The 23796-nt window shown below is 40.1% G+C and overlaps 1 protein-coding gene across 51 annotated transcripts in view, besides 1 other annotated feature; it reads left to right on the plus strand.

The window, feature by feature from the left end:
• FANCI (FA complementation group I) overlaps positions 3952-23796 on the plus strand; it is a 73281-nt gene continuing 53436 nt past the window's right edge. For 4 of the 51 annotated variants that reach the window (XM_047432795.1, XM_047432811.1, XM_047432814.1 and 1 more), the window contains exons 1-8: positions 3952-4040; positions 5580-5681; positions 7602-7704; positions 18677-18749; positions 20686-20816; positions 21558-21714; positions 21794-21851; positions 23392-23433. In XM_047432795.1, the coding sequence (XP_047288751.1) occupies positions 7621-7704; positions 18677-18749; positions 20686-20816; positions 21558-21714; positions 21794-21851; positions 23392-23433 (545 nt within the window). In that variant the 5' untranslated portion in view covers positions 3952-4040; positions 5580-5681; positions 7602-7620. Of the gene's footprint in view, positions 5285-5579; positions 7511-7601; positions 7705-18676; positions 18750-20685; positions 20817-21557; positions 21715-21793; positions 21852-23391; positions 23434-23796 lie in introns of all 51 variants that reach the window. The other 47 variants (XM_047432793.1, XM_047432805.1, XM_047432821.1 and 44 more) reach the window with 16 other exon arrangements.
• Positions 4155-4534: an enhancer, noted in NCBI's record as "active region_10045". NCBI's record gives its function as "activates an Ori minimal core promoter by ATAC-STARR-seq in GM12878 lymphoblastoid cells {active_cell/tissue: GM12878}" and the evidence as "EXISTENCE:reporter gene assay evidence [ECO:0000049][PMID:35858748]".

Below are 23796 nucleotides of genomic sequence, written 5' to 3' on the forward strand. Positions count from 1 at the left end.
GGCCGGAAATAAAGGATGGGCTCTGGCTAGTTATCTGCAGCAGGAACATGTCCTTAAGGCACAGATCACTCATGCCATTGTTTGTGGCTTAGGAACGCCTTTAAGTGGTTTTCCGCCCTGGGTGGGCCAGGTTTTCCTTGCCTTTATTCCGGTAAACCCACAACCTTCAGTGTGGGCGTCATGGCCATCATGAGCATGTCACAGTGCTGCAGAGATTTTGTTTATGGCCAGTTTTGGGGCCAGTTTATGGCCAGATTTGGGGGCCTGTTCCCAACACGTCTCAAACAACAACGAAAACCTTATGAAGCACTACCTTATGCCAGGCACTTTACTACACACTGGTGCTATAAATAGTGAGCAGGTAAACCTCTGTCTCAAACTCTACCAAACTGGAATTTCTTCCAGGTGGAGTAAACCAGTTCTCCTTAACAAACCTGTGAGCTATCCAGGTAGTACTGTGTTTGTTTCTTTTACCATCTTAACGGTTTCTAAGTGTATAGTTCAGTAAAGTCAAGTATATTCACACCGTTACACAACACATCTCCAGAACTTTTTCATCTTGCAAAACTGAGACTCGGTACCCATTAAGTAATAACTAATTGCCCCTCCCCCCAGGCCCCATAATCACCATCCTTCTTTCTGTTTCTATGAATTTTTTTTTTTTTTTTGAGATGGAGTTTTGCTCTGTCACCCAGGCTGGAGTGCAATGGCATGATCTCAGCTTACTGCAACCTTGGCCTCCCGGGTTCAAGCAATTCTCCTGCCTCAGCCTCCTGAGTGGCTGGGACTACAGGCGCCCATCACCACACCTGGCTAATTTTTATATTTTTACTAGAGATAGGCTTTTGCCATTTTGGCCAGGCTGGCCTCAAACTACTGACCTCAGGTGATCCACCCGCCTTGGCCTCCCAAAGTGCTGGGATTACAGGTGTCAACCACTGTGCCCGGCCTGTTTCTATGAATTTGATGAGATACCTTATATAAATGGAATCACGTACATTAGTATTTGTCTTTTGGTGACTGGCTTATTTCACTTTAGCATAATGTTCTCAAGTTCATCCATGTTGTAGCATGTGTCAGAATTTCCTTCCTTTTAAAGCTGGATAATATTCCATAGTATGTATGTCCCACAATTTTTTTTTTTTGAGACAGAGTCTCGTTCTGTCACCAGGTTGGAGTGCAGTGGCACAATCTCAGCTCACTGCAATCTCTGCCTCCCAGGTTCAAGCAATTCCCCTGCCTCAACCTCCTAAGTAGCTGGGACTACAGGCACGCACCACCATGCCCAGCTAATTTTTTGTATTTTTTTAGTAGAGATGGGGTCTCACCATGTTGGCTAGGATGGTCTCAATCTGCTGACCCGTGATCTGCCCGCCTCGGCCTCCCAAAGTGTTGGGATTACAGGTGTGAGCCACCGCACCCAGTCGTATGTCCCACATTTTATCCATTCATACAGTGAGGGACATTTGTGTTATTTCTACCTTTTGATTATTGTAAATAGTACTACTGTGAACACAGATATACAAATATCTCTCTGAGATCCTGCTTTCAATACTTTTCAAAAGTTATTTGCTGGAAGGAAATAACACTTTCATGTGCTTCTAAGTTTGGCTCTTTATATGTGTTACCTTGATCATTCTCTCAAGCAGCACTGCCCTTAATCCCAAGCAACTGGAGCTCTTGGGCGGGGTGGGGGCCTTATTGGTCTTCCTCTGCCCAGAGTCCAGAGGATGTGCCCACCCACCTTCCTTTAGATCATGCTCTAGGTACCTACTTAACCATCCTCAAATTTGCTTCCAGGGCCCAGATAGGCCTTTTCCTAGGTCCACCCTTCCTAGAGTGGACCTGCTAGTATGTACAGCCCTAGACCCAAAGGGTGGCTACAGGGCAGCTTTGTGGGGGACTCATGGTGTGGATCTTCAGGCTGGGTGTCCACATGCAGGCATAGGAAGCCTGAGACCTCACACTGTAGGACTGAGTTGGGAATGGTAAGGGGCTTCCATTTGTACTTTTTCTCTGGACTCCTGTAAATATTAGTAGCTATAATGTTGTTAAGATAAACAAGTACTATTGACAAGGTCTGAAGAACATTTAGTTCCATTACTGTAAACCTGTTTTTAACTGGATGTATTTTCTAGAATCAGTGTATCACTAGCTTCTCAGTGTATAGTGTCTAGTCAGTGAACCAGACGGATAAGATTTGCTCCTTAGTTAAGGAAGCCTGCACCAGGGTGAAAAACCGTTGTTGTTAATCTGAATGAATCTGTTCTTCTCTTCTTTTGCATATGTAACACTTATTAATGCAAATGGAAAACACAGATGATGCATTCGTGCAACAAGAGGAGACAAGAACCCTGAGGCATCAATGCCAGTGGGTAGACACACAGGCAATTCAGTAAGTACGTCTGGGATGCGCCAGTGGAGGCTCGGAGAGGCTAATGAGCTTGTTCTAGCTACCCAGACCCACAGATTCATGGCTGAATCCCAGAAGCAGCCTGGGAGATTTTGTGGGGAGATGAGGCAAAGTCATCTACTTCCTTGGCAAGGTAAAGGATTCCTTTCAGGAATCATCTTCTACCTCAAGCTGCCGTGTTTTAGTTAAACATCACAGCTCAGTATTGGGACAGAAATGTAGAAGGAAAAAAATGCTGAAGGGTCACAAGCAAGGAGCAGGTCTAGACAGCTGAGAGGAACCATTCTCCTCCAATAGCTCTGTTTCTTCAATAACTGGCCATGTAGACCCGTTCTACCCCCGAGGGCTGGGAGTCGAGTCAGGTTCCAGACTGAAATGCTCCCTGATCTTAGCATTCCTTCACTTGCCATCCCACAGGCACCTCAAATTTGGTGCGTCCAACTCTGAAGGGCTCATCATCACCCCATCATCCTTTTCCTGTGCTCCCTGTGTTAGTCAACTGCAGGATTAACTCCCCGCCCCCCAACCCCAGTCGCTCAAGCCTGAACATTCCTCAACAACGCCCACACCCCCTCAAATCCGGATATTTGGGCTTCCTAAATCTCTACCTCCTAATCTCTTTCACATGCGGTCCACTCCTTTCTGTCCCCATTGCCAAGGTTGGGCCACCACCACCTATCTTTGGGACAACTTACAGTCTTCTAAGGGGGGTCCTGCCTTCGGTCCGCCCCACCTGGCTCATCTCTTTTCAACAGTTTCTGCGGTCCTCACCTGCCCGAGACAGCAGTCTACAATGCGAACACAGTCATGTCCTTCCCCTTCAGCGGTTCCCCACTGCCCCCAATATGAAAAGGAGTTAGAAACCCCTGCCTTCCCACTCCCACCGAGCACCTTCGCCTTCTGAACTGGCCAGGGGCTCTGTTGCTTGCTCGTTGCTCTCAGACCCTTTGCGCAAGGTGCTCCCTCAACCCAAAATAGAATCTCGGCCCACCCTCTGTCGGTCTTCGCCCCACTGTCAGTTGTTCATTTAACAAATATTCGCTGCTTTTGCCAGGCTATGCAATAAACGCTGGGGTTACGCAAGGGGAGCGCAAAACAAAACAAAACAGAGAACAAACAAAAACCACAACTCCCAAAAGTCCATTAAGACCCCTAGCCACAGGGGGCTTACATCTGAGGGGTTACCGTCCCTTGGCACAAGGTGGAGTATGAAATCCGCCTCTGCCTTCCAGGCTTTTCCAGTGCCAAGACCTGCGGGGCCACCAATTGTGAGTCCCCTCCCGCACTGACTACTCCCTCAACAGGACAGGAGGGAAGCTGAACCTGTCGGGACACCGCGCTGGGCACGCTCAGGTCCCACCGCGCGTGCTCATCGGCGGTCCCTAGCGCGAGTTCGGACAGGCAGCGCCCCCCTCCGACTGTGAGCTGGGACGCTCCCGCACGCTTCCCGGCACCCCTTCAGTCTTCATGGTACACCCCGCCCGCAGGTACCCGGACGGCGGAAGTGAGCCGCGGGGGCGGATCTTGTTGTTACGGGTAACGGAAGTGTGGCGGCGTTGGGTTGAGCGGGCTTTTTGGAAGTTTGTGGCGGAGGTGAGGCCGAGGTGACTGCAGAGCGGCTCGCGAGGTGCTCGGGCTGTGGGACTGGGCCCCTGGGAGGGAGCGGTTCTGTGGGGGAAAGGAGGCTCCTGTCCTGACTTGGCGTTCTGGTATTTTCTCTGGCGTGGAAAGTAGGCGCGCTCCGCTGTCTCCCGCCGCCTGCCTCAGCTTTCGCGGTTCCCTCCTAGGGGTGTGCCTCAGTCGGAGCCCCTTCTGTTAAATTCTTCCCCCTTGGCCGAGGGTGAGCTCTTACTTCTGAGAAATTTCCCTTAACCTTGCTTTGCATTTGTTGTCCGGTCGCGGTCTCCATCACCAGCTGCTTCGTGTTATAGTTTTTGTATTTGCGCTCACGGCTTGTTAACTGAAGAACCCGGAAGGGAAGGCCGCGGCGTTTCCCGCCGGCGGGGCTCTGCCATTCTCGGATCTTGGCTTCAGATCTCTGATGCTCCCCAGCGTCTCTTGGCAAGGAATCTACTTCGCGTTCAGGGAATTCACAGCCACCCGCCTCTGGTCTTACCTCTGGTTTTAGGATGATTTTAGCAAATGTGCCTAGGTTGATTTAAACGTATCCCCCTCCGAAGCCGCCTGCCCCTTCTGGCTGGACACCTTTTTAGGTTGGTGTGTCCTGTTTGCATCCGGTAGTTCAAAGCATGGGATCTTGGAGTCCGGAGCTGGACAGACTCGGGTTTCACTTCTCTCTCTGCCACTTGGTAGCCTTCTAATCTTGGGGGAAATTCCCTAATCTCTGAATCCCAAAAGTTGTTCATCTAAAATGGGGCTAATATTACACCTACCTAGTAGGTGGTGTTGTGGGAGTCATGTTAATGAATGTAAAGTGCTGGGTTCAGTGTTTTCCCTATTATAGGGGTTCAATAATTTGTTCAACAAACATTTGTTACCTAGTTTGAGCTAGGTACTGTGCTAAGTGCTGGAGATACAATGATAAACAAAACCAGCTACGGCCCGTGTCCTTAGGGGACTTATAGTCTAGTGGGAGATAACATTTGTTAATCTGATAATTACACATGTAATATTAAAAATTGGTGACAGTATGTAAGAGAGTTTACTGGTGCCATGAGAGGATGTACTAGGGGAACGTTTAACAACCTATACTGAGCTTTTCTTTTCTTTTCTTTTCTTTTTTTTTTGAGACAGAGTCTCCCTCTGTTGCCAGGCTGGAGTGCAGTGGCGCGATCTCGGCTCACTGCAACCTCCGCCTCCTGAGTTCAAGTGATTCTCCTGCCTCAGCCTCACAAGTAGCTGGGACTACAGGTGCGTGCCGTCACGCCCAGCTATTTTTTTTTTTTTTTTTTTTTTTTTTTTTTTTTTTTGTATTTTTAGTAGAGACGGGGTTTCACCATCTTGGCCAGGAAGGTCTGGATGTCTTGACCTAGTGATCCGCCCGCCTTGGCCTCCCAAAGTGCTGAGATTACAGGCGTGAGCTACTGCGCCTGGCCTAGACTGAGCTTTTGAGGAGATGTGGATTGAGCTAAGATCTGAAGGATTTGTAGGAATTAGTAATAAAAGATTGGGGGGCAGTGGATGGAAGCAGGAATATTTATTTAAGTTCCAGATGGAAACATGTGGAAGGGCCTGTGGCAGAAAGAACTTGGAGATTTGAAGGACTGGAAGCAATTCTGCATGGCTGGAGCAGAGTGATGAAAGGGAGGTAGGCATGGGTCAGAACTTGCAGGACTTATTTTATCCTTACTTAAGGGTTTTGGACTGATAAAGCAATGGAAGCCACTGAAGAGCTTTAAGATGAGGATGGCATGGAGGGAAGATAAGTCACATAATCAGGTTTGTGTTTCAAAAACATCACTTTAGTTGCTGCGTAGAAGGGAACAAGTTAGGAAACGATTGCAGTAGTTCAGGTGAGAGATGGTGGTGGCTTGGGGTAATGTGTCAGTAGTGGAGATGGAGAAAAGTAGACAGATTTGGGAGATATTTAGTAGGTAACATTGACAGGACTTGGTAATGGATGTGGTGAAGGATGAAGGCAAAGTTGTTAAGAATGTTACCTAGGTTTCTGGTCTGAGCAGCTGAGTGGATGATGGTACCATTTATGGAGACGGGAAACACAGGAGGAAGAAGAGGAGGAACAGATTTTCTTTCTACTAGGCTGTACTTCCCCCTTCTATTTTCATAGCTACTCACTGAATTCTATCTGCTTCATGTGCCTCCATTTCATCCCATCTTTTCTGTTCTCCAGTCACCACCCTAGTACAGGTCTTTATCATTTCCACTAAAATAACTTCCAAATGGTCTCTTAGCATTTGCTGTTTCTTCTTACCTTCTCCCCACTTTAATCTGCACAAAGATGCTAGGTTCTGTTTCCTCAAACACTTGCAATCTTGTGAGATTGTCTTTTGCTCAAATTTTTTAATGGTTCTCAGTAATTTACGAAATAGAATCTAAATTCCTTAACCTGTTTACTTCCAGCCTATCTTTCCAGACTTCCTACTCACTATTTTCCTACTTGGATTCTACCTCAGCCATTTTACTCATTTTCCCCCAAAGAAATTTCTCATTTCCCGTATGAATGCCTTTGTTCATGATACCCTTCTCCATAATGTATACAACCTGGTTGTCTGGACTACCTATATTTAATCTCTAAGTTCCAGTTCAAGCTTTCCTCTGCTGCGAAACCTTGACATTTAAGAACACAGTTACATCTTTTACCTTGTTAACTTCTCAGCTTTTCTTTCTTTCTTTCTTCCTTTCTTTTTTTTTTTTTTTTTTTTGAGACAGAGCCTCGCTCTGTCGCCCAGGCTGGAGTGCAGTGGCGTGATCTCCGCTCACTGCAAGCTCCTCCTCCCGGGTTCACGCCATTCTCCTGCCTCAGCCTCCCGAGTAGCTGGGACTATAGGCGCCCGCCACCACGCCCAGCTAATTTTTTTTTGTATTTTTGGTAGAGACGGGGGTTTCACCGTGTTAGCCAAAATGGTCTCGATCTCCTGACTTCGTGATCTGCCCTCCTCAGCCTCCCAAAGTGCTGGGATTACAGGCATGAGCCACGGTGCCGGCCTCTTTTTTTTTTTTTTTTTAAGAGACAGGGTCTTACCTTGTTGCCTAGGCTGGAGTACTGTGGCATGATCATAGCTCACTGCAGCCTCACACTCTTGGGCTCCCCTTCTCACTTGTTTTTATACCATTTAATTGGCACATAGCATTTATAGTGCTATTGGTTTATTCATTTATTTGTCAAATACTTTATTACATGCTTATGGTAATATATAATGTATTACATACTTGATATGCTGTTAAATGGAAGCTTTGTTCTAGGTAGTATGGTGAGTAGATGGTAACAAGTGTGGGCAAAAATTATGAAACCACTTGATTAGAATACAGATTCCTAATAAGGCAATTCCAGGGAATTTTCAGGATTATTTTGGTTAGGTTAAGAATCATCTTGCCACTGAGCTTAAGAAGAAGAAGAAAAAAGAATCAGCTACTTAAAGATAGTCCTAAGTTTGTTGAGCACCCATTGCATAATAGGTATGAAATATTCAGTTAACAGGGAAGGAAAACAAATCAAGTTTGTTTATTTCTGGAATCTTCACCCACCTCTGACGTTTTTCCCTTGTAGTTCTGTGATATGAGCAACAATGGACCAGAAGATTTTATCTCTAGCAGCAGAAAAAACAGCAGACAAACTGCAAGAATTTCTTCAAACCCTGAGAGAAGGTGATGTGAGTATTAGGAAGCATGTTCTGCTAAAAGTAAATGTCAGGCATGATGACACATTCAAAGGACATGTGAGAAAGAAAAATTACGCTGCTTCTTCATCTACTCCCCATTCACTGTAGGAGACAAGGATTTATTTAATAATAATTTATAGATGTAAAGAAATTGGGGTGAGGGAATGAGAGAAATAGACTACTTGAGGGCATTTGTGACCAAGTTTAAACCTGAAATAGTTTAAGAATAGAATGCTTTTACAACTGTATTTATAAAAGCAATTAGTATACTTTTATGGTCCTCAGAACAATCCTATTTGATGATAATATCCAGACTATAGTTACTGATTGAGACATTAGTTTTGCATTTTGATGCTTCTCTGTATTTTTCCGTAAAGAAATTAAGTTTATAAGCGGCAAAATATTTTGAAATTATTAGTAAAAATTAGGGCCTCTGTTTTCACTATAAGTGTAGGATTATAAAATGGGATAGTAATTGCCTTATATGTTAGGCTGTTTCTTCTCCCTAATGTTCTTTCTCAGCTGATATACTGCTCCTTTTTCCATAAGTGATCTCATCCTATCCAGGTCCCTGCCTGGAAAAGAATCCCTCTTCAAGGTATATGTACAAACAAGTAAAGACATTGAGTATCATGGGATTTTTTTCCTTTTTCTGTCAATTGATGAGTATTATGTTTTTAAGGGAATTTCTTTGTGTTAATGTTGTAGTTATTGAAGGAAGGTGCATCTTAGTGTGTGTTATCTGACATACTAACTAGGAATTGATGCAGTGTTGCTCTTTGATTTTTTTTTCTTTGAAATTATCCAAGATTGCCTTTATAGCTATTTTTTGAGATGACTTGTTGCATGAGTTGTAACTTGAATCATTCTATAGACAAGATTTGATTGAAACTAGCATTTAAATTATTTATTTAAAGTTTCATGCCTCAAATTGAAGGCGTGAACACTGTCAAATTGAAGACAGTGTTCCAGATGTTTTCTGACTCTAGGATAGAGTAATGCTAATATTTCCCTCATTTTTCCATTAATGCAAAATCAGCTTTTTGGCAGCAACATTATATTGTAGTCTCATTGCTCTTATATTTATTTTTGTATATGTTGATAAGTTGCTAAGTTTCCTTTATCTCTGAAGTCCTTTTAGAATCCATGTTAAAAACTATATATAGGCCAGGCATGGTGACTTACACCTGTAGTCCCAGCACTTTGGGAGGATTCCTTTAGGCCAGGAGTTCGAGATCAGCTTAGGCAACATAGTGAGACCCAGTTTCTAAAAACAACTACCAAAACAACAAACTTTATATCTGTTAACTGTCACCTTTTTTAGATTCATCTTGTTTTACTCCATCAAGATCATTTTGTATGATTCTGCTGACCGTATTAATCAGCTTTTTATCCTCTACAAATTTGTTAAGCATGTCAGTAATATATGCAGGCAGTTCATTTGATAAAATGTCCCACAGAAGATGAACTCAGAGTAAAAAATTATAAAACACATAAAGAAGTCCTGTGGCAAGAAAGACTCAAACAGAAATGGGAAAATTCATATTCAAGGATTTAGAGCAATCTGAAAAAAATCTTTAATTATTTAACACAAATACTTAATACAGTATTTAACTTTATTTATTTAAAGGTGGGATCTCACCCTTGCACAGGCTGGAGTGCAGTGGGGCGATCTCGGCACACTGCAGCCTCAACCTCCTGGGCTCATGCGATCCTCCCACCTCAGCCTCCTGAGTAGCTGGGAGTACAAGCATGTGCCACCATGTCCGACTAATTTTTGTATTTTTAGCAGAGATGGGGTTTCGCCATGCTTTCCAGGCTGGTCTTGAACTCCTGAGCTCAAGCAATCCACCCACCTCAGCCTCCCACAGTGCCGGGATTACACGTGTGAGCCACTCTGCCTGACCTAGTATTTAAAATATTTGAAGATGTAAATGAAGGAATAGAACTCACAAAATAAGGGATGGATTTAGAAAACAATGAAAGACAACTTCTTGAAATGAAAACCTCAGTAGGTGGTTTAACAGTAGACAAAACATTGCTAAAGAGAAAATTAGTAAAGTGGAATACAGAGCTGAGGATAACTAAATAAAGCACAGATTGTAAAGAGGTGGAAAATATAAAGAATATTTAAAATATATGCAGAGAACTTTGATAAGAATATATTATCTTCTTAAACACATAGAATGTTCATAAAAATTAATCACATGTCATATACTAGAGCACAAAGAAAACATGGGTAGGTCCCATAAGGTAGAATTATTACAAACTATTCTCTGTGATCACAATGCAATAAAACTGGAAATGAAAACCGAAACTAAAAGTCAAAAAGCAAAGACACTTTTACTTGGAAATTAAAATACCTTCTATTCAACCATTGTGGAAGACAGTGTGGCGATTTCTCAGGGATCTAGAACTAGAAATACCATTTGACCCAGTGATCCCATTACTGGGTATATACCCAAAGGACTGTAAATCATGCTGCTATAAAGACACATTCACACGTATGTTTATTGCGGCACTATTCACAATAGCAAAGACTTGGAACCAACCCAAGTGTCCAACAATGATAGACTGGATTAAGAAAATGTGGCACATCTACACCATGGAATACTATGCAGCCATAAAAAATGATGAGTTCATGTCCTTTGTAGGGACATGGATGAAGCTGGAAGCCATCATTCTCAGCAAACTATCGCAAGGACAAAAAAACCAAACCCCACATGTTCTCACTCATAGGTGGGAATTGAACAGTGAGAACACTTGGACACGGGAATGGGAACATCACACACCGGGGCCTGTTGTGGAGTGAGGGGAGGGGGGAGGGATAGCATTAGGAGATACACCTAATGTAAATGACGAGTTAATGGGTGCAGCACACCAACATGGCACATGTACGCATATGTAACAAACCTGCATGTTGTGCACATGTACCCTAGAACTTAAAGTATAATAAAAATATATATATATATAAAAATAAAAAAATACCTTCTAAATAACTCTTGGAGGAAAAGAGATACAAACAAATTACAGGATTTTTGAAGAATAATTACAGATAACAAAAATACTACATGTTAAAAATCCATGGAATAATGTTAAAAACAAGTGTTTAACAAATGAAATAATGAAATCAATACAAATGAAATAATGAAAATAAATAAATTCCCAACTCAAAAACCTAGAAAAAAGAGAAAGTAAACAACAACAAAAAAACACAAGAAACTACTAAAGATAAAAGTGGAAATTAATAAAGTAGAGAACAGAAAAATAGTGGATCAAATTAATCAAAATCTTGGTTCTTTGTGGGGGAAAAAAACACCATTAATTAATATAATAATCAAAACAGTGGAGTAAAAACATGCACAAAATGAGAAATGACAAGGGAGAAATACTGTTAATACAGAGAAAATCTCAAAAAATACTGTGAGACTACAGTAGATTCCTGTGCAAATAAATTTGAAAACCTAGAGGAAATGGATAATTTCTTAGGCACGTACAGTTTAATAAAATTGAGCCAATTTGAGATGGAAAGCTTAAGCAGACCAGTTTCCATAGAAGAAAAGAGAAAGTTATGAAGGAACTACTTCGTACAAAAACACCAGGCCCAGATAGATTGGCAGGAAACTTCTGTCAAACCTTTAGAGATCAGGTAGATAGTCCTAATGCTACATAAATTGTTTTAGAGCATAAATAATAAAGGAAAACTTCCAAGTTCTTTGAATGAAGCAAGTATAACATTGAATTAAACAAATATAACATTGATTTTTTTATGCTATCTTTATCAGGTATAACCTTAAACCTCATAAAGATAGCATAGAAAAAAGAGGATATAGACTAATGTAACTTACGAATATTGATATAAAAGTCTTAAATATTAGGGGACAGATTGCAACACCACATTTAAAAAAAGTACACCATGATCAAGTGGGATTTAATAGCAGGAATACAAGGTTGGTTCAGTATTTGAAAGTATATTACTATAAAGATTATACGATTATCTTCATGGATCAGAGAAAGCCTTTGACAAAATTCAACACTCATTCCTAATAAAAGCTTGAGAAAAATCAGAATGGGTGGCTGTTTCCTTTACATCATAAAATGTATATATCTAAATTCTAGAGTCAGCATCTTAGTGGGAAACCATAGAGACATTTCCTCTAAGGCCGGGAACAAAGCAATGATGCCTACTGTCTCCATTACTATATAATGTTCTGATTGGCTAGCCTATGCATTTAACCTAGAGAAAACAATCACAGGCATAATAATGGAAAAATAAAGGCTGAGTGCAGTGGCTCACACCCATAATCCCAACGCTTTGGGAGGCCAAGGTGGGCAGATCACTTGAGGTCAGGAGTTCGAAACCAGCCTGGCCAACATGGTGAAACCCCTTCTCTACTAAAAATATAAAAATTAGCTGGGCGTGGTGGTGTGTGCCTGTAATCCCAGCTACTCGGGAGGCTGAGGCAGAAGAATCACTTGAACCTGGGAGGTGGAGGTTGCAGTGAGCCCAGATTGCACCATTGCACTTCAACCTGGGTAAACAAAGTGAGATTCCATCTAAAAAAAAAAAAAAGAAAATATAAAACGTCTCTCTTTGTAGATGGCATGATAGTATACCTGGAAAACCCTGGAGAATCTGTGATAAAACCATCTATAAACGAATTCATCAAGGTAGCAGAATATAAAATTAATATGCAAAAATCAGTAGCATTCATACATAATAGCCAGTTAGCTCACGCCTGTAATCCCAGCACTTTGGGAGGCCAAGGCAGGCGGATCACCTGAGGTGAGGAGTTCTAAACTAGCCTGGCCAACATGGTGAAACCTCAACTCTACTAAAAATAGAAAAATTAGCTGGGCGTGGTGGTGCACGCCTGTAGTCTCAGCTACTCAGGAGGCTGAGGCAGGAGAATTGCTTGAACCCGGGAGGTGGAAGTTGCAGTGAGCTGAGATCACGCCACTGTACTCCAGCCTGGGCCCCATTTACAATAGCAACAGAAAAGTTAAAACAGGAATAAACCTGAGAAATGTCCAAAACCCATGCGAAAAAAAACTATGAAACACTTCTGAAGGACAAAGTAGAAAACTAAGAAGATATCCCCTGTTCTTGATTGGGGAGTCTCAACATCACGAAAATGTCAATTCTTCCAAAGTTAATTTATCAATTTAATACCAGTAAAAATCCCATTGAGCTATATATATAAGTTGACTGCAAAATTCATATAGCAAATTGTACACACAGGGATAGTTAGGGAAAAGCTGAAAAGAGCTCTGAGAGAGGATTAACCATAGCAGAGACTAAACACCACAAAAACTTTTATAAATAAGAGTGCAGTACTGGTACATGAGTAGATAAACAGAAACGGAATAGGATACAAAGAATAGAATAGGTAATGCATAAGAATGGAAAGTCTCAAAATAGACCCAACTACAAGTAAAATCTAGTATATAATAAAATTACATCTTAAAACACTGAAATAAAGATAATCTTTGACAAATGATATTGGAACAACTGGATGGACATTTGGAAAAAATAGATGAAATTAGATGTGTTTCTCATATTCAAGAGAAAGCTCCAAATGAATCAGAAATTTAAATGTAAAAAACAAATCTAAATAAATGTTAGGGCTGGGCACAGGGGCTTATCCCTGTAATCCCAGCACTTTGGGAGGCTGAGGTGGGAAGATCGCTTGAGCCACGAGGTTCAGATTACAGTGAGCTATGATTGTGCCACTGCACTTCAACGGGTGAAAGTGAGACTCTGTCTCTTAAAAATAAATAAATAAATAAATAAATAAATAAATAAGTATATGTTAGAAGAAAACATGGATGAATTTCTCTTTAAGCTCAGTGCAGTGAAAAGCTTTCTAACTGTCATACAAAGTATAGATGCAAGAAAAGATAAGTTTGTCTACATATAAGTTAAAAAGTTTGTGTGGCCAGAAATACCATAAGCAGAGTCAAAAGACAAATGGCAAACTGGGAAAAAATATTTGTAACGTATCACAGAAAAAGGATTAATATCCCTAATTCATAAATAACTTGTGGGGGGGGGGGGGAAGATAAACTGTATTTTAAAAAGGCAAAAAACATGAGAATAATCACTAAAAGATATATAAAAATGGCCTTAAACATAAGAAAATATGCTCAACTTCACTCATAATAAGAGAAAAATAAAATAAAAGATAGTGATCCACCTGCCTTGGCCTCACAAAGTGCTGGGATTACAGGCAGGAGCCACCATGCCTGGCCCCATGTATATTTTTATGTGTATAAACATGCATACATTTCCTGGCTCTCTCCAATGAAAGAACCATGAAGCAAAGATGCCATAGTTGCTCGGTGCGGTGGCTCACGCCTGTAATCCCAACACTTTGGGAAACTGCGTGGGTGGATCACTTGAGTCCGGGAGTTCAAGACCAGTTTGGGCAACGTGGTCAAATCCTGTCTCTATAAAAAAATAAATAAATAAATTTTAAAAAGATGCCTTAGTAACAACAAACACACCCATCACCTAGATCTTTGCTGTTTCATAACCATTCCTCACTCAAGGGAACCAGGGCTCTTCAGAGAAACGGATAAGTTTATGCGTGGGCAGGATGGATACAAGATGAACCTGGAACATCTTGCTATACCAGAAAGTAAAGAAGTGCTCAAAAAAGACAGTGGGGGCGTGTCACAAAGACAGAAGAGCCAGCTTGAAGGGTTTCCCTTTGGCCAAATCTGGGACTATTTGAGCATCAAAATAAGTTCAATAATGAACCATTGAAAAATACAGAGATTTATAAGTCCATACTCATAATTAATAAATAAATTACTTTGGGAGTTCGAGGACGGAGGATCACTTGAGTCCAGGAGTTTGAGACCAGCTTGGACAACATAGTGAGAACCCACCTCTACAAAAAAATAATTTAAAAAATTAGCATGGCATATCAGCACACGCTTGTATTCCTAGCTAACTGGAGGGTTGCTGAGGCAGGAGAATTGCTTGAGCCCAGGAGTTTCAAGTTATAGTGAGCTATGACTGTGCCACTGCAGTCCAGCCAGGGTGACAAAGAAGACTCTGTCTCTAAGGTAAGTAAAGTAAGTAAATGAATACATGGGTAGAAAGGAGTTCTCTTGCTTACAGTGCAGGAGTTGGAAAATCATTCCTTTGCAATTGTAATGGTAAAGATTGAACCAGACAAGAAATACCAATGGATGTTAAATCCAGGGGGACTTTAAAAACATTGATACGATACAATTAATGAAGCTAAGAACCTTATTCCAACTCTCCCCAGTAATTATTTCACTAATGTTCTCTTTATGTTCCAGGATCCCACTCAGCATCCTACATTGCTCTTAGTTGTCATTTCCCCCTGATTTCCTACACTCTGCAATAGTTCTCAGTCTTTCCTTATCTCTGTTGATCATGATAGCCCTGAGGAGTATTGATTAGTTGTTTTGCTGAATGTGTCTCATTTAGGGCCTGTTTGGTGGTGTCTCATGATTGGACCAATGTCTTGTATCCCTGGCATAAGGACCACAGAAATGGTACCATGCCCTTTTTAGTGTATCAAATCACTGAGCTCTTGATGTCAGTGTTATTCCTGGTGATACTGACTTTGATAACCTGGTAACAGTGGTTTCTGCTGGGCTTTTCCATTTTACAGGAAGAAAATTAGATGAGGAGCAAGATATTTGCATGATCTTAAAGTGTCTCCCTATAAATTGCTTACTGGTGGCAAAGGGACAGGGTGGGGGAAGTAATTATAAAGTGGGATCAGAATATCACCAATGAGGGACAGATGGACATCATGTGCTTCCTGATGTGATACTCCGAGAATGACATGATATCACCTGTGTTCTTGTGAGACCGCATAAACTCAATCTAGCCACAAGGAAACATCAGACAACACAAAATGAGGAATGTTCTATTTTTTAAAAACTAAAATTTATTTGGATTATGCTGTTAACTTGGTAGTTACAGTCTGCCAATTAATTTTAAAGCCTTCTGAGGTAACAGGGATACTTAAATCTTACTTGCTCTATTTCTGAGTTTTAAAATGTAGTAAAAAGCATAACTGAACATGGTCAAAAGAAAGACTGAAGATCACATAAGTGGAAGGAGGAAGAAGGGGAGTAGAGGACAGAGTCAATAGAAGAAAATTAACATTCGTTGAGTACTTGTCGTGTGTTAGGCTCTGTGCAAATTCTTCTCCCCTTTATCTCAGTCCTTTGAGGTGGGGAAATGGACACACATAACAGATTAAGTTGCCTGAGGTTTTATAGCTAGTAAATGGCATAGCTAGGATTTACATCCAGGGCTTCTGATTCTGGATCCAGCTTTTTTTCCCTCTTCCTATGCCACACTGCTTTCTGTTGAAACTGAACTATTTCAAAAAGAGTCAACAGCTTCTCAGCCTTGGCAGTGCTCACGTTTTGGCTCGGATAAATCTTTGTTGTGGTGGGCTGTCCAGTGCATTGCAGAATGTTTGATAGCATCTCTTACCTCTACCCACTAGATTCCAACAGCATCCTTCCAGTTGTGACAACCAGAAATGTTTCTAGACATTGTCTAGTGTCCCCTGGGGGACAAAAATCACTGGTTGAGAACTGCTGCTCTAAGGGTTATGTCAAGGACCAAGTACTCTGTTGGAAGGTATAGGCAAGAGTAGTCAGATACTTCTTTATTATATATTTAATAGAGAGATGGACTCCAGCTAGAAACACCAGCCTCATGTACTTGTGGAAGAGAGAGTTTATTGTTTTATTAGTCTTGGCTTCTGTGACACCTCTCTCTCGAGATTATCCTCCAATGTTATTGACTTCACTTTCTCCATTGTCTTTGCTGGCAGCTGCTTCTCTTTTTAATGACTGACTCTTGGTGTTTCTCTTCTTTATATTCTTTCCTGGATGGTCTCATCTGTTTCCATTGATGCTCCACTTGGCATATTTCATTGTCATCTATTTGGCACTTCCACTTGGATATCTCAGAGTAGTGGTTCTGAGCCTCACAGCAGACCCGAATCATAAACTGTGGGTAGATCCTGGAAATTTAGTAAGCTCTCAGGGTGATTTAGATGCTTCCTTAATCCCAAATTTTCAGCACGTAAACAGATGGTGCCACTATCCACCAGCTAGCTGCTTAAGCCAGAAATTTAGGAATCCTCCTTGATTTCTTTCTTTTTTGTTGTTTTTTTTTGATATGGAGTCTCGCTCTGTCACCCAGGCTAGAGTGCAGGGGCGTGAGCTCGGCTCACTGCAAGCTCCGCTTCCCGGGTTCATGCCATTCTCCTGCCTCAGCCTCCCAAGTAGCTGGGACTACAGGTGCCCGCCACCACGCCCGGCTAATTTTTTGTATTTTTAGTAGAGACGGGGTTTCACCGTGTTAGCCAGGATGGTCTTGATCTCCTGACCTTGTGATCTGCCCACCTCGGCCTCCCAAAGTGCTGGGATTACAGGCATGAGCCACCACGCTTGGCCAGATTTCTTTTCCTTCATCACCACCCCCTACTTCCCTTCCAAACTAAGGAATTTCTATTCTTAGTTCTCAAATATTTATCTTAGATCTATCTACTTTTCTTCATCGCCTGTATTAGTGTGCTAGGGCTGCTGTTACAATGTATCACAAATTGGGTAGCTTAAATAGCAGCAATGTAATGTTTCACAGTTCTGGAGACTAGAAGTGCAAGATCAAGTGTTGTCAGGGTTGGTTCCTTTTGAGGGCTATGAGAATTTGTTCTGTGTCTCTCACCTAGCTTCTGGTGGTTTGTTGGCAACCTTTAGCATTCCTTGGCTTGTATCACCTGATATCTGCTTTCATCTTCACCTGACATTCCCCCTGTTTGTGTTTCTGTGTCCAGAGTTCCCCTTTTTATAAGGGCATTAGTCTTTGGATTAGGACCCATCCTAATGACCTCAACTAATCTCACCTACAAGAAGAGCCCAATTTCCAAATAAGGTCACATTCTGAAATACTGGGGGTTAGAGCTTCAACATATGAAATTTGGGGTTGTGGGGAGGACACAATTCAATTCATAATGCCTCTATTACTTTGGTCTAGGCCACTGTCATCTCTCTCTTAAACATGGTAGCAGTCTACTAACAGGTATCCCCATTTCACTCTTAAACCCCCATAACTCATTCTCCACACAAGGAGCAAGGATGATTTTTGAAAAATCTATCATCCCATTTCCTTCTTTTCTCTTTAGTAACTTCCGTTGCACTTAGAGAAAAGCTAAACTTCCTACCATGGCCTGTAAGATTCTTCATAATCTGGTCCTTTCCCGTTTCTCTTCAAACTCATCTTCTACTACTCTTTTCTTTATTATTCTCCAGCCATGTTGATTTTTTTTTTTTTAAGCAAGGCTTTGGCCTCAAATATGCCAAGTTCTTTGCTGCTTCTTGGACATTGCACGTGATCATACTTCCATCTGGAATATCCTTCTCTAACGCCTTTGAATAATTAGCTCCTTCTTGTCCGCCAGGTCTCTACTTAAATGTCACCTACTTCTGAGAAGCTTCCCCTTACTACCCTAGAGGAAATTTCCTTCCTTTCCTCACTTATTGTCTATCTCAGCCTCTTATTTGGTTCTTTTACAATTTTTTTCTGCCATCCTTTCCCCTCCTGCTCTGTTATGAACTCTGAGTCAAATTACTATGTCTGTTTTGTTCATCTTTATAACATGCCTAAGGAAAATAACATGCTCAAAAAGTATTTGTTGGATGAATGTATGTTCCCAACTTAGTGCTAAGTTATAAACATAAATGTTTATAGAATGAGTAAGAATAGATTTTAGTCTTGACAATCCAGGATCATATTAAGATATACCCTCCTCTGTCTAAAAATTATGGTGTTTGTAATACTTGGCGTCTCTGAATGATCTGAACGTGACAGAAGAGTACTTTTTCATATTGAGTGTTTAGGTCATTGGGGTAAAAGACTGTTGCCAGAGACTTGTACCTTTTTCTTTCTTTGCAGTTGACTAATCTCCTTCAGAATCAAGCAGTGAAAGGAAAAGTTGCTGGAGCACTCCTGAGAGCCATCTTCAAAGGTAATAATAATTAATGTCACTTCTGTCTGTCTCCTGCATTCATTGGTAGATTTGTTTAGTTTTCGTACTTTTCTTACGGTTTGAAGCCCCACTGGAACATTTTCCATGTTTTGAGGATTCTACAGAATCAACTACAGCAGCAGTTTCCTGTCTAGTGGACTTAAGTAATTTTACTGAAGGGAGTTTGAAGTGGCTACCTGAGATTGCGTTGCTGATTTGGGGGCCTATAATTACAGAATGTGCTTTTCGTAAAATCTGCTTTGGTTTACTTGTGCTTTTAAGATTGTGGAGAAGAGAACAGCAATGTTTAATACATAATCCATGCTTAGCAAGGGGCAAGTAACCTCTGGGGTTTAATGAAATGGGGTATCTTAAGGTGCCTTATATAGAGATTCTTCATGCCCGCTGAGACGTATTTGTTTTCTTGTCTTGAACAAGGGCTAGTTTAAATTGTTGCAGATTGTGATTTATAGTGGTTTTATAAATTCTGGTAGGATAAAATTTTACAAGGCAAAAATTAAAAGTGTCTTTGGACTCTTAATTAGGTATGTTAACTTGGTTTATTTTTCTTCCCCCAAGTAAATTAGATCTCTGCTGCAAGGGTACAAAAACACATCTTCCTATTCATGAAAGAACTTTCAAGATTGGTTGAGTCAACCTGTATGGAAACTTGCTAAATATTTTATAGAAATATCAGAGAAAAGGAAATAATTAAAGATCAATAGCAACTGCCTACGTACACTACTACTAAATGGAAGAGCAATTCTATGGCTTTTAGTATATTCAGAGTTGTGTATCCATTACCACAATTGATTTTAAAACAATTTCCTTACCCCTGAAAGAAGGTTTGCATCTCTTAGATGTCACCTCTCCAAACCCCTAGTCCATTCCAGTCCTAAGAAACCACGAATCTACTTTTTGTCTCTACAGATTTGTCTATTCTGGACATTTCATTTAGTGGAATCATTCTATATATGGTCCTTTGTGACTGACTTCTTTCGTTTATAATGTTACAAAGGTTCCTCTATGTTGTAATATGTATCAGTACTTTATTTTTACTGCTGAATAATATTCCATTATGTGGATATACAACATTTTTCCATTCATGAGTTGATGAAGACTTAAGTTGTATCTATTTTCTGGCCATTATAATACTACTATGAACATTTGTGTATAAATTTTTGTGCGGACATGTTTTCCTTTCTCTTGGATATATATCTAGGAGTGGAATTGCCGGATCATGTGGAAACTCTTATGTTTAACTGAGAAACCGCCAAACTGTTTTCCAATGTGGCTGGATTAGGATGCCAATTTTTTCACATCCTCATCAACACTTGTTATTATCTTTTTTTTTCAGTTTTGATTTATTTTCATCACTTTTTCTACATGATCCAGATATTTTAAAATGCAAAGAAAATTAACTTTAATGATATGTTCCAGGATCGGCACTAAAAAAAAATTTTCAGACTGCAAATGAATTATACAAATGAAAATATCAAATGGAGATCCCCTTATCCAAATGAAAGCACTCAACTTATTAAAAGTTCACAAGTATTTGTATAGAGCACATTAAAAAAGTCAGCTTGCTAAATGTTTTGATTTTAAAGAACGATTGCAGAAGTCTGAAGAAAATAGATTAGTTATTAAATTTGGGTTACTGGACTTCTCAAAAGCTGTAAGACCTATTAGAAGGTTACTTCATCCTGTAATTATTAAAATAATAGGTAGATGAAGAAAAGATGACATTTTAGTCCCTTTATTTTGGCTAAATTAAGCACTTTTTCAAAGCCCTTAACCATTGCTGTTCTAAGCACCGTAGTAATCAGTCGTTTGATAATTCTGTTTTTTTGTATTTAACTACAAACCTGTTCGTTTTTCCTATTTACCTGTCAATGTTGTAAGACTTGTTTCTGAACCCCCTGTTTAAAACAATAAGGTTCCCCCTGCTCTGAGGAAGCTGGAACACTTAGGAGACGTAAGATATACACTTGTTGTATCCAGTTGGTGGAATCGGGGGATTTGCAGAAAGAAATAGCGTCTGAGATCATAGGATTACTGATGCTGGAGGTAAGATGGCAAACAAAAACTTTTATTTGGGGGTAGGTTTTTGAGGGTTTGTAATTTGTTGAGGGAAGGAAAACTTAAGTGCCCAACCTAGCATAGTCCTTATTTATGAGTAAGACCTGTTGTTAAAAAACAAAGAAGCAGGCCGGGCATGGTGACTCACACCTGTAATCCCAGCACTTTGGGAGGCTGAGGTGAGGATCGCTTGAGCTCAGGAGTTTGAGACCACCCTCTGCAACATGGTGAAACCCCATCTCTACCAAAAATACAAAAGAAAAAAAATTAGCCGGGCTCGTGGCGCATGTCAGTGGTCACAGCTACTTGGGAGGCTGAGGCAGGAAGATCGCCTGAGCCAGGGAGGCGGAGGTTGCAGTGAGCCGAGATTGCACCGCTGCAGTCCAGCCTGGGCAGCAGAGTGAGACCCCGTCTCAAAAAAAAAGCAGATGAATGGGTTATAATCCACTTAGGTGTATATATTACATTTCTGGTACCATGGACATATATCTCTTTGAAGAGCTGGCATATCTGAAAACATCAGGGAACCGATACAGGATTCTAACTTTTGAAGCCCTTCACAATTATAACTACGTACCAGACAGAGCAGAATGATTCCATAAATCCCTTATGGGACCAGTTCTGGATCTCGGTCAATTCATTTATTTCAGCAAAAGACTTTATTTCTTAGAAAGATTTATCAAACATTGGATTTCTGCTTGAGATTTCCTTTATCCTGTGAACTTTTAGGCTCACCATTTTCCAGGACCATTATTGGTTGAATTAGCCAATGAGTTTATTAGTGCTGTCAGAGAAGGCAGCCTAGTGAATGGAAAATCTTTGGAGTTACTACCTATCATTCTCACTGCCCTGGCTACGAAAAAGGAAAATCTGGCTTATGGAAAAGGTAATTTTCTTCCGACTTTAGTGGCTTTTTCTCTATGCACATAATCAAATTCATTGCTCAGTATATTTTGCATTTCTAGGTGTACTGAGTGGGGAAGAATGTAAGAAACAGTTGATTAACACCCTGTGTTCTGGCAGGTGAGTCTTGTTAATATGTATAACTTTCTTAGGAATACAAGTGGCGGAAAAAAAACCACTTTATTTCAGGAATTTATGTCTGGAGGTTTTAAGTCCTTCTTTTTTGTTGTTTTTAATATAACACTATAAAACTATTTAGTCTGCAATGAATTAGTGAGAAAGAAATGATTTACTATATTCTGTCCTCTAAGACTGTTCATATAGTTTTATTTGCTTGACTGTATCTTCTTACAGCAATTTAGTGTGTTAAGATACACATAATTAAATGTTAATTTAGTGTGTTTAATGCTCCAATCTAAGCATTATTGGAGTCTCAAGGTCGTGAAGGCTGGGAAAGTCACCCTGCTGCTGCATCTTTTCTTTTTTTCTTTTTTCTTTTTTTTTTGAGGGAGTAGAATATACAAGTGATGTATCCTTTAACCAGTAATTGTATTTCTGGGAATCTACATTAAAGAATGACTGCAACATACAAGAAAATCCTCACATATGAACATGTTCAACACAGAAATTTGTGACCAGTATAAGCATACAGTAATAGAGACATGTAAACTATGTAAGTTAAGGTAGAGCCACTCCATGACATTTATACCTATTAAAAGTGAAATGTATACATCAAAGATGAAAAATTCTAACCATATAATTAACAAAGAGATTACTATGTTATATAATACTGTGATTGCGTGTAGGTTTGTTAAAAAGAACAAGAAGGGAATACCCAAGATTATCTAAACCAGAGATAATTGCTTTTATGGTTCCTTACATAAGATCCCTTACATAAATCATTTTAAGCATGTATTTGTCAATTAATTTGTTTTTAATTACACAAGAGTTTATTCAATACATACTGTAATATACCTTGCATTTTTTATTTAATACAACTGTCCATGTCAGCATATACAACTCTACATCATTCTTTTTAATGGTTTGCAGTAATCTATTATTTGGCTAATCTACAATTGTCAGATTATTTGGTTATTTCCAGTTTTTGTGCTATTACAAAGAGTGTTGCAATGAATGTCTTTTTTAATTTTAAATAGAGATGGGAATCTTGCTTTATTGGCCAGGCTGGTCTCTTGAACTCCTGGCCTCAAGGGATCCTCCTCCTTTGGCCTCCCAAAGTGTTGGGATAATAAGCATGAGCCACTGCACCTGGCCTGAACATCTTTATATATCTAGATGACCTTTTATAAGCATGTACATGGCATATATTTCAAATAGTAAATTGGGTAGATCTGTGATTATGTGCATTTTTAAAGTTGATAACTACTGCCAGCTTGTCATACATTCCCTAAAACGGTATGTGAATAGAGTTTGTTTTCCACAATCTCACCAACATTGGGTATCATCAGAATTTTGATTTTGCGAGTCGGGTAGGTTAACAACTGCTATTTCATTGTTTTAAATGGTATTTATTTGATCTTGTTTCTCGGTATTGCAAAATCAAACTTGAATTGGCCCTGTTTTTTTGTCCTCATTAATTTTACAAAGTTATATCTAAATAAGTTGTAAAGAAATAAACTTTGTCATTTTCTTCTACCAGGTGGGATCAGCAATATGTAATCCAACTCACCTCCATGTTCAAGTAAGCATCATCTTTTCCCTTTTCTTTGTGTATCCTGCTTTGTGAACTTACTTGCTAGAAATTAAACTATAGCAAACGTAAACATCACTCTCTCCTGATTGTAAGAATATTAGTAGTTATGTTTTCTGTTACAGATTCACAGATTCCCTCCTCACTCCTGCCTCCTTTTTGGCTTTACTTACTTATTTAAAACATAACTTTATTTTTTTTATAAGAATGACTTTGCTTAGGTAAGGTTATTGGTTCCCTTAAAGGTTCTTCATTAGAGAAAAATCAAAAGGGACAGTTATAATAATCTATTATCTCTTTAATTCTCTGCTCCCAAGTTTCATTTCTTAAAATATGTTTAATGGAATTTTAACC

Source organism: Homo sapiens, chromosome 15 (genome assembly GCF_000001405.40).
Source record: "Homo sapiens chromosome 15, GRCh38.p14 Primary Assembly".
Lineage (NCBI taxonomy): Eukaryota > Metazoa > Chordata > Mammalia > Primates > Hominidae > Homo > Homo sapiens.